This window comes from Homo sapiens, chromosome 9 (genome assembly GCF_000001405.40).
Source record: "Homo sapiens chromosome 9, GRCh38.p14 Primary Assembly".
Taxonomy (NCBI): Eukaryota; Metazoa; Chordata; class Mammalia; order Primates; family Hominidae; genus Homo; species Homo sapiens.
Window position 1 is genome coordinate 31,253,587 of NC_000009.12, and position 12,304 is coordinate 31,265,890.

At 34.6% G+C, this 12,304-nt stretch overlaps 1 pseudogene; it reads left to right on the forward strand.

The window, feature by feature from the left end:
• SLC25A6P2 (solute carrier family 25 member 6 pseudogene 2) lies at positions 202 to 1,357 on the forward strand (annotated as a pseudogene).

Sequence of the window (12,304 nt, forward strand, 5' to 3'; positions counted from 1 at the left end):
AGGCCTGGGACACAGATGATTATATTCAGCATGTGAGCAGAATAAGAGCTGTTTTGATGACAAGGAAGACCGTGGCAGGCTATATTTTTCATAATGGTCATGGCAATATCTCAGTCCAACCTACTCTTCCAGAACCTTGCCTCTCTTCTATAAGGAGGTGGGAACCTTTGGAGATCATAATTAATAAATAGACTGTAGCTGCTTTCGGTCCTGGTGGCCAGGGCTGAGCCAGCGACGCCCTCCCTTCACTCTCCGCGCCTGCTCTCCTGCTGTCCGCCCGCTCCGCCACCCGCTCCGCTGCCCGCCAGGCCACCATGACGGAACAAGCCATCTCCTTCGCCAAGGACTTCCTAGCTGGAGGCATCACCGCCGCTATCTCCAAGACAGCCGTGGCATCGATCAAGCGGGTCCAGCTGCTGCTGCAGATGCAGCACGCCAGCATGCCGATGGCCGCCGCCAAGCAGTGCAAGGGCATCGTGGACTGCATCGTCCGCATCCCCAAAGATCAGGGCGTGCTGTCCTTCTGGAGGGGCAACCTGGCCAATGTCATCCGCTACTCCCCCACGCAAGCCCTCAATTTCGCCTTCAAGGATAAGTACAAGCAGATCTTCCTGGCGGGCGTGGACAAGCACACGCAGTTCTGCAGGTACTTTGCGGGCAACCTGGCCTCTGGCGGCACGGCCGTCGTGTATCCCCTGGATTTCACCAGAACCCGCCTGGCAGCCGACGTGGGAAAGTCAGGCACGGAGCGCGAGTTCCGAGGCCTGGGAGACTGCCTAGTGAAGATCAGCAAGTCCGACGGCATCCGGGGCCTTTACCAGGGCTTCAGCGTCTCCGTGCAGGCCATCATCATCTACCAGGCAGCCTACTTCAGGGTGTACGATACGGCCAATGGCATGTTCCCCGACCCCAAGAACACACACATCCTGGTGAGCTGGATGACCGCGCAGACCGTGACGGCCGTGGCTGGCGTGCTCTCCTAACCCTTCGACACAGTGCGGCGGCGGACGATGATGCAGTCCCGGCGCAAAGGAGCTGACATCATGTACACGGGCACCGTCGACTGTTGGAGGAAGATCTTCAGAGATGAGCGGGGCGAGGCCTTTTTCAAGGGTGTGTGGTCCAACGCCCTCAAAGGCATGGGGGTGGGGGCGGGCTTCGTGCTGGTCCTGTACGACGAGCTGAAGGTCAGCTAAGGGCCTTGGCATCCTCCACACACACACCAAAGGAACCAAGAGAACCACGTAGAATCCTCAAGTGTGCAAACCATCGACATTCGAGAAATTCCAGTCGTCTTTTTCCCAGCCGGACCCTGCCTGTAGATGGCCAGGAAAGGCTCTAGAAAAGGGGCTCATTGGCTGAGCGTGGTGGCGGGCACCTGTAGTCCCAGCTACCTCGGGAGGCTGGGGCAGGAGAATGGCGTTAACCCGGGAGGCGGAGCTTGCAATGAGCCGAGATCGCGCCACTGCACTCCAGCCTGGGCGACAGAGCGAGACTACGTCTCAAAGGAAAAAAGAAAAGAAAAAAAAAAAGGAAAAGAAAAGAGAAAAGAAAAGGGGCGCATTGTGATCCAACCATCGGTACCGGATTCCAAGTCTTGATCACTAGGGGAAGGGAACTAGGGTGTCCTGGTGGGCCCACGGGCGAGGCACTCCAATACTCAGACCTAGAAGTCCAGATGCTTGTAGGATCCAAGTCGTGTTTAAGTATTTATTTAAAACAAAAGAATCATGTTCCCCATTTGTACTTAAGCACTAGTCCCTCTTTTGCACAGCCGAGTACTTTCAATTATGTTCTATGTTGGGCATCCTGCTGCGAAACATTAAACACAGGATGCGGGGCTGGCGGGGGGGAATAATTAAATAAATAAACAAATCGAAGGTAGCAGAAGTGAGACTAAGTAATATATTAGGCGAGCTTAGAAAGACGGTGCAGCTTCCACTTGACTTTTTCTTAGGACCCTTGCCTTTTGGAACTCAGACGTCATGTTATGAAGAGGCTGAGGCTACATGAAGAAGTCATGTTGACACATTTAAGCACATAGGTCTAGCTAAGGACCCTGCTGACAGCCAGGATCAACTGCCAGATATGCGAGTAAACAAACTGTGGTGATTTAACATCCAGCTTCAGAGTAACCCTAATGATGCTAACTAAGTACAGCAAAGACAAGCTGTTCCTGCAAAGCCCTGCTCAAATAGCAAATTGACGACCATAGTAATATTGTTGTTTTAAAAAACAGTATTATTGTATCAGTTTGTCAACATAGAAAAGCTTTAAATAGATAATCTTAAAAAGTAATTTTCTTAAGAATATATACATTATGATAGCATTAATATATAATACATTGGAAGTGAAGCCTAAATAATTGTTGATTAATAAATTTAAAATATCAATATGCTTTAAAATGTTAATTACTGTTTATCAAGTTGGAGAGTTTAAAGCAGAAGTCAAGCTCTTATCACAAGTGATCTTCTTTATTGGGTAAATGCATTTATTAATTACTTTTAAAAATTTATCAAAAACATGTATAAATAGGTGTTAAATATTTAAGGTACTACAGAATAGATGATGTTTAACAAGAAAACCTTTAAAGATGAGGTGTTGGAAGAAACACAGAACAAGCAAAATGCATCAGTTTACTAAATGCAGGAAATGCAAATCAGTCAGTAAATTATTACAGCAAGAATGCATGGTGATTAAAAAAAATAAGGTTAGCCTCATACATACACATGCATTATACATATAGCAAGGACAATAAATGTAAGTTAAATATAATTCTTTAAAAACACTCACAAATTGGATTAAATAATGCTTAAAATTGTTATGATAAAAATGTTTAAGACATTCAAAAAAGATACACAAAAACTGAAAATACAGGAATAGAAGTAGACAAATTAGACAATTACTAATAAAAAAATTGAAGCAATACTAATATCAGATAAAAATAATTCAATGTAAAAGGAATTCAATGGAATATTGGAGAGAATAATTGTTCAAGGACAAGTGTTTACCTTTATCTCCTTGGAAACATAATACAGTTTTGAAATTTATAGGCAAAGAGTGTTAGAACTATGAAAAGAGAGACTAAAGATGTAAATGTATTCTCTGGGTGATGTAGTTCAAAACTGATTGGTTTTGCTCTTATGATAAAATAATTCAGATAGAGATTTCTTGAGTGATTTTTTTACACAATAAGATATTCTCTTTGTAAATTTCTGGTCAACTATCCCCGACTATCACCTGTTTTTACAGCAAAACTATAAAAATTTTAAGTTTCAACTTTTGAAATCGAATTGCCAGAACAATTGATTATGATGTTGAATGACTGAATCTACAAACATTTGTTTCACACCAGTGGGCTCTATCTTAAATATAGAAAGATTTGAGTCATCAATTATAAATAAAAGTATAAAACATAAATATTAATTTTAAATATAATATTTATAATCAACATAGTGTAAACTTTGTATTTAAAAATTGTATAAAACTATGAAAATGAAAAGAGGCTTTTTAAGTGTTCAACTGACAATCCCATATTTATTAATTAAAATCAGGTAAAAACTAACTATAAATTTAGATAACCTTCAATAAATTTATTTTATCACTTTTTTTAACTTTCTGCATAATAATAATGGGACATTCTTGATTAAAAAAACATCAATTTCATGAACACTAAATAAATTATATCAAATGGAATTAATACGCATGATGATTTACTGTAATTTAACTCAAATAGAAAAATTGAAAACTACTCAAGTCACAGTTAAAATTAATTTTAACTGTATCTTTGGGGTATAATTTTCCTAACTAAAACTCACTCCTATCATTAGAAAAGGAAATCCATGAAGAAAGCAGGAATTTTATACGGAATAAAAGTTATAGCATATGTTAAACTGGAGAAAGTTACATAAATTGTCAATATTCTTCTCACACTAAATGGCACTAAAAGGGTACTTTGAAAATGAGATTTAAATTCAAAAAATTTCTCTCTACCTATGGCATTTTACCATTTTCCATTCACAATGGATAATATCTGAGGAAGAGTTCTGAGGTGGCAGCATGCTTGTACACCTGCTTTGCTAAAATTGCTTAAGTGCTAATTCACTGGCAATTTCACTGCAATAGCAGGTAGTTTATTTTTAACTGCATTTAGGGTTTTGAATGCTCATAGTGACACAGAATTCAATCTGTGAGCCATTCCATGAGAAACTATTTAAGATTAATACTTAAAACTGTTAATTAATTTCTGCGGTCACTGGGCCTTATACATAAAATCATTGCTGTGTTAAGGTAAATGCAGATGTTTGTAAATTCATCTTTTAAATAAGTGTATTTTTGAGAAAAAATTTCAATTTAACAAATATTTACTGAGCACAATTTGTATAGAGAAGTAAATCAAATAGACATTGGGTATGATTACCATAGCAGTTTCTGAACATATAGTCCAATAAATATAGTGGATGTGTGTGTGTGTGTGTATATATATATACACACACATATATATACATATATATGTATATGTGTGTGTATATATGTATGTGTGGCTATACATATATTTATACACATGTATTTCACCCTCATGCTAGCCATTATCAAAAAATTCATAACCAAAATAACCACAGATGCTCTCTTCTGTCTCAGAACTACATCTTTTCAGTTTTGAGGTATAAATTACTAATATTAAGCATTACTAATTAAGCATTACTAAGAAATTACTAGCATTCACTTGAAAAAATGAACTTAAATCATCACAGGCTGGTTTTGTAGATCTCTTTAGATATAAAAATGGAAAGTTCTAGATTTAGAAAATCTCTAGGATATAATTACATTTTAGTGTTCTTACAAGTCTTGATTTCTCCTTTCTGGGACATCCAGAATGTTGACTTTGATAATTATTTAGCAGAGTCAAGATAGATACAACTCATATTATAGGAACAATTCATGAAGCTACTTTGTCTCTGAAACCTGTTTTAATAATGTATATGATATACTTAACACTTGGCCTGAAAGAAAATGTCATAAAATATATTTTCTTTTACATGTCTTCATTTTAAATCCCTTTTCGTATCATTTTTCCCTAACCATTGTATAGACATTTCATAACTTGCATTTTGGGTACTTTGTTTCCCTTCTTTGATGTCATTAAAAATACTAAAAGCAAATTCACTTCAGAAAACAGCAGAAAACTTGCATTACTTTTTTTTTTTTTACATCATCTCATGCTGTCACCTCTTGTATATTTTTCTTCTAAATTGTTTGAAATTTGTCTCCCATATTATCTGGCTATACTTTTGATAATAATAAAACTTTATTTGCATAGTTACCTCAAACTATATTAAATGCACAGGTCAATTACCTTCCCACAAAAATAATTACCTCATACTTATTTTGCTGGGTTTAGTGAAGTTTGAATTAACTTCAGATTATTCCCCTTGTCACAGTGATTTGTATGGGTTTAAATTTCTCTTTTTCAAATAAAGTTATTTTCCTTATTTTATATTGTATATATCTATAGGAGAAAATGTAGCAAATCCAGAAAAACTAAATAAAGAACATAAACTATGCATTGTCCAACTACCTGGAACCATACCTTTTAGAGTTTGGTATAGATGATACCAGTTTTATGTGTGTGTGCATACATTTAATGTGCTGCTTTACTGTGTTTTAAGTATGTTTACATAATTCATAATATTTTAAATATTGGTTTTAAATATAGATTTTTCTGTAATAGTAAAGATGTTTTTTCATAAAAATGCAGAAAAAGCAGAAATGTATAAAATTAATAGTAACCTCTTATTCAGACCGATGAGCAAATTACACTTATTTCTAAGTAATTAGCGTTGCATAAAATAGTGAGATCAATATTTTAATTGGCAAAGAGCATAAATATAAATTATATATATTTGTGTGTATGTGTATATGTGTGTGTATGTACATATATATCCATACATATGTATAATCTATATACTATATTATATATTATTATATTGAGTCACTTGAGCCATTTTTGCTTTATTTCCATTTACTTTCCTTTCATTATTTTTCAGTGGGAAAGATTAATAAACTACCTAATGGCAATCACTAAGGTCATCATTCTTCCTATATACTCTTCCATCTATTTCTCATCAGTCTTCTTTCTGAAATATATTTAAAAATCAATATATAGTGTATGACCTTAAATAGTAAACACAAGAATAAAAATATATGGAATATTCTTAAATGAGTTAAATTCTTTTTTTTTTTTTTTCATTTTCATTTTCCCTCAAACATTCTCTTTCTACAAAAGCTGGTAAGACCTCAAGCTGTGCTCTTATTTGTAATGGTAAGTGTCATTTTGGTGGCCATGTGGCTACACAGCATGAGGTAGCTATGATGAACCCTGATGAAAAACGACAGGTGCAAAATGAGAAAAGTTTGCACACAACAAGTTTGGCTTTATAAAGGCTTCAGGTTTACCATCATCAGAGAACCTTGATCTGCTGTGGTTTAAAACAAGGAAGGGAACCACCTGTTTTGCCTCAAGCAATAGTTAAGATCAAACAAAATACGCTCTGAAACAGTAAGACATGACAAAAGAGAGTGAAAGGGTTTTTCAGCAATGGCAATAGAAGTTACTTTCTGCAAAAAGAGTTGGGTTATTACCAAGTAAAGCACAGTGGTAATAACCCAAAGGCAAATTAGAGTAAAGAAAAGCAGATATATGCAGGTGGTAGAACAATATTTGCATTTCCATAGATAAATACTTTTAAACATACAGAAAAAACAAAGGGACACAGAACTCATAGTAATGATTTGGATATTTCCTTTGGCCAACATATCTCCTCAGTTTCTAGGGCACACACTGAGATTCAAGAGAAGCCTGAAGAAGAGCATATTTATGAAATAACTATCCACAACTGACATCTACTTGTAAAGGATTAATATATTTTTCATAAACATGAGAGATATATCCATTCATAAAACTCTTTAAATCACATTGTACAACTTGGATGTGATGGTTGCTTATTCACAGGATGAAGACGCAATGACTGGAATATACAATGTAAATGATTCACACATAGGCACCACCACCTCCAAGTAAAAAAGCAATTTGTGAAAAACAAGGAAAACTCTTGTTTTTGTCGGGGCCAGAGAAGTATAGTTGATGGTAATTTGTAATCAGAAAACACAGCAAACTGCTCAATTAAAAAAATCAATCCCAAACTTCTGCCTTTTTTACAGATTCTAAACAACTATGTTAATTAGACCTAAAAAACTATAGGTATATGTGCATAATCAAATCAAGTCTTACCGAAATCTAGATCTGATGGCTTCCAACACCAACATTTAGAAAGATATCCCCAGTGCAGTCCGGGCATGGTGGCTCACGCCTATAATCCCAGCACTTTGGGAGACCAAGGCTGGTGGATCACTTGAGGTCAGGAGTTTGAGACCAGCCTGGCCAACATGGTGAAACCTCAACTTTACTAAAAATACAAAAATTAGGGCCAGGCATGGTGTTGCACGCCTGTAGTCCCAGCTACTTGGGAGGCTGAGGCAGGAGAATCACTTGAACCTGGGAGGCAGAGGTTGCAGTGATCCCAGATCGTGCCACTGCACTCCAGCCTGAGTGACCAGAGTGAGATCATGTCTCAAAAAAGAATTTATCTATCTATCTATATCGGTATCTATCTCCAATGTGAAGCAATAATCATATTCTTGTTTCATAGAAAATAAAAATCATAAAATATCTACATGAAATAAAAATGCCTATTGTCTATTTGCATGAAGTAAAATGGCAAATTAGTACTTCCAAAAATTAAATTATATTAAATGTTAATATTTTAATATAGTTTGAAAGTATAAAATAAAAACATAATTTTCTTATAATTCAATTCCTACAAGATGGCATTCTAAGTATTTGGAGGATACTTTCATTTTACTATTTTCATATGAACATGAGTTACATTCTATAAAGCAGTCATAAGAGTGCCTGGCACATCATAAAAGCTCTATAGTAATTAGTTATATAAAAACAAAATTATTTTCATAATCAGGAGGTACACAAAATGTTCTGACATGCGCTTTTTAAACTTTGCATTTTATTGTCATCATTTTTATAAAAATAATAAAAAGAAAATGTATATCATGTATACATACAAAATGATAAAAAAAATGAAAATGAGTTTCACACTAAGATTCCCTACCCTATTTAATAGACATAAACACTGTTGTGTTTTTCTGTAAATCCTTCCACAAAATACCCCTTACATACGTATTCTTATGTGTGTATGTGTATGTATACATGTGTGCATGCATATATTATACTTAGTATTTTCAAATAAATGGCTATATATTATAAGCACTGGAGTTTTACTAATCAATATGTCTTGGAAATACATTTGATTGATATATATTTGAAACTCTCTATTAAATAGTAGTAGAGTGGCCGGGTACGGTGGCTCACGCCTGTAATCCCAGCACCTTGGGAGGCCGAGGTGTGTGGATCACCTGAGGTCAGGAGTTCGAGACCAGCTTGGCCGACATGGTAAAACCTCGTCTCTACTAAAAATGCAAAAAACATAGCCGGGCATGGTGGCAGGCGCCTGTAATCCCAGCTACTCAATAGGCTGAGTCATGAGAATCGCTTGAACCGTGGAGGAGGAGTTTACAGTGAGCCAAGATTGTACCATTGCTCTCCAGTCTGGGCTACAAGAGCTAAACTCCATGTCAAAAAACAAAACAAAACAAAACAAAAAAACAAAAAGGTAATAGAAGGGAAATCATACTCTATTACTCTATAAGAGATATCATTAAAAAGATAAAAGCCCCTGCATATAACTTCATATTTATAGATCAAATACTGAATTAGCTTCTTCAGAATTCAAAAAGAAGTCTCTAATGTTTTCTATCAACATTTCTATTCAACTAGAGTAACTAAACTGTATAACAGAAAAAAAAAGAAATAGAAGTACAAAATTGGAACCCTGAAAATAAAGCTGTCATTATTTCTAAATGACATAATTGCATACGTAGAAAGCCCAAAGTACTCTAGAAAAAAAATAAGAGTGTTGATTAATAAATTTAACAAGGTTCTTGGATGCCAGTAAAATGTATTAAATCAGTTGAATCATCTACATAGTTGGCAAACTTTTCTTTAAGGAACAAGATAATATGTATTTTCACCTCTGTGGCCATTATGGCCTGTCACTACTCAACTTTGCAATTATAGTAGTCCTTTGATTTGTGTTCCATACACTGTTCCATATCACAATCTTGCTACGAGCCTCTGCTGCTCTGAACATGTGGTACCAGCATGGTACTGTGTTCCATTCACATATTTTACAACAGTCTCTACTTGACATTTAGACAGTTTTCTTTGCCTCACAATATAATTCCATCTGCAACATACATTTAGATATCCATTAAGAGTTTGGCCAACTGATAGTACTTTTTTCCACTTGCTAGTAATAATTCTGAGTTTTTTCTTGGTTTTGTGACTTTTTTTTTTTTTCCAGTAAATGTAATGGATTCTAAGCAGGTAACATATAACTGCCCTCTTGAAACAAGTAGTCCTGCCCATCAATTACTCATCAGCAGAAACACTTATGCTTACTGAAAAGAGAAACCCAGTAAGGTAGCCTCATTATTTGAGGCTGGAATAGCATAGAACAGATCCACTTAGCTTCTAAGCTTCTGCCTGATTTTGCAAGCATATTTCAAGAAAATGATCTAAGGATTTATACACTGAATAGGACTATCAACCCAGTTTTAAATAGGAATATCTAACCTTTCTTAATATTGTTGAACACTTGTAAGAAATTGATTCCAGGAGGTACAATCAACTACTACTTTATTTGCAATACTCCAGGACTCTGAAACACTAATTTCCATGCATATATATTAGTCATCTCAGGGAAAAAAATTAGGTCACCCAGAACAGGTTCTCATTTCTATCTTTATATACTATTTGACTTGACAAGAAAACATCAGCAAAAACTGTGTGAAGTATGCTAATAAACTTGGTTTCATCTTATTTAAGAGAATGACATTGAAGTAGTACTAGAAATCCATTCTGTTAATAGGCAAAAATGGAGAATTTTGATTACAAGTAAAGGCACGTAATTCATGGCCTGATAATCATTGACAACTATATTAACACATATTAGCAGTAACAGCTCAATCTAATATCTTAGATACAGAGATTTTAATAATCCACAAAAGAATACAAAGCTGAATATTTATATTTCTAGTTTTTACTAAATAGGGATGCATTCACTGGACTTTGCCTGATCCTACAGTCCCAGCCTTTTTTTTTTTCCACATAGTAGAATCCACTTACTCTTAAGTGTAGATTCAGTATGTCTACATTTCTAAGGTTAATATTCATCTCAGAAAAAAAAAAGGGAATTAAGGAGTTGTGACCTATTATTCTGAAACTTTTTCTCTTCTGTCCTTTGTAAGTCTTCAGAATGAATATTTTTGCTTAGTTCATATGACATTGTGTCCATTAGGGTCCTCAATCTTGTTGAATAACTATTGTCCCTAGTGCTAAAGACCATATTCTAGTAACTTTCATGGCACTCAATCTACCTGTATCTAGGACCTTGTTTTCTTAGCGGTCTGATCTCCAAGTGGCCCTATTTGGGAACAGAAGCCATTCTGGATACATCTATCCAAGGTCCTGAGTCCAACTATAGATCTAGGTTTTGAAATCTGACCTCTCTTTTCTCTGAAAAACAAACAAACAAACAAAACCAGAAAGTCTAATGTCAGTTCCACGCTTCAAAATAGACATTATTTGATGGTATCATAAATTAGAATAATAAACGTCTTGATCTAAATAAGCAATAAACATCTTAATTGTGATAAGATAAAAATATATCATGAAAGTAATGATAATAAAATTATTTTTAAAACCTGATGCTTATTTATATCATAATCTATCCATCCTCCTGATATAAAAAGGTATCTTTCAGAAATTATCTATTTTGTCTTACCAAGATGTAATATTACTTAAAATGCTAAATATAAGTACTTTCATTAACAATATTGATTGAGAGAAAGTCATTTATATGATCATAAACTGAATTATTAAACAATATACAAAACTTTAATTTCAATATTTTGAGGGGTGTCCGGGGACTCAAATGACAGGAGCACAATATTTCTAACTATAGGCTCTATAAATAATATATTTTATTGAAGAAAAATATATGCTTTCTTTTTTTCTGTCTACAATATTCAAATGCCAGTTGAGGATTCTCAGATGCTTTTAAATGTTTTGTAAGTAATTATGTCTCTCCTTTAGAATTGTTTATATTATTGATTTGTTCATCTTATACCTTTTTGAGTAGATGACAATAAATTTAGCTATTTTCTATCTAAATAGTAAACAATTCTTGAACTTCTAGGATGTGGATAATTAAACATATTTTGCAAATTACAACCTTCTCAGCATAATAGAGTTTCTTTAGTCTGGCACAAAGTAATTATTTAGCTTTTAGAATAGCAATTTAAAAACAATTTTAAAATAAGACACACAGTAATGATAAAGACTACTACTGCATAGTCAATTATTTAATTGAGTATAATACCTTAATTATATCGTTTTGTTTAATTTTATAATACTTATTTAGCTATGTTAGTCATTATATAATTTAATTAACCTAATTAGTATATAATTATCATGATCATCACTAAGCATAAGCAGAAGTAACTAAAGAACTGCAGACTAACATATTGTTCTGGGAGTGATAGGTCAAATTAACTATAGACCTAGAAGGTAATATGTTCACAGAAGCTTAAAGCTTTGGTAAGAGATATTCTATATTAAGATCAGCTTGTATCTTCCCCAAGTCTCCATGGAGTGTGCTGACAGTTTAGACTTAACCTCACCAATTGAGACAGCAACTGCAATTGAAACAATAGGTGCAAACCTAGGATTAAAGATTCTTCAATGGACATTAGACAGATAACACTGTTTAAAGTGGGATATCACCCAGTATTTTTCCACCTAGATTACAACAAACCTGTATACATCACCTCACACTTGAAATTATTTCATTGCTCTCCACAATATGGCTTAGGTTTTATTTTACAATTGCAATTATTGTGAGCTGTTTACTCCATTATTTCTTGCTTTTGTTCATTGTATTAATACCACTTTTAGATTATGTTTTTGCTGCTTTTAAATGTTTAATCATTTAATGTTTAAACATTTTAAATGTTATACCATCTTTTCATTCATTTTCAATTGTCTTTATTGTAATCAAAATATTTAAAGTTTAAATATTTTTCTGAGTAAAGATTTGTTCAGATTTCA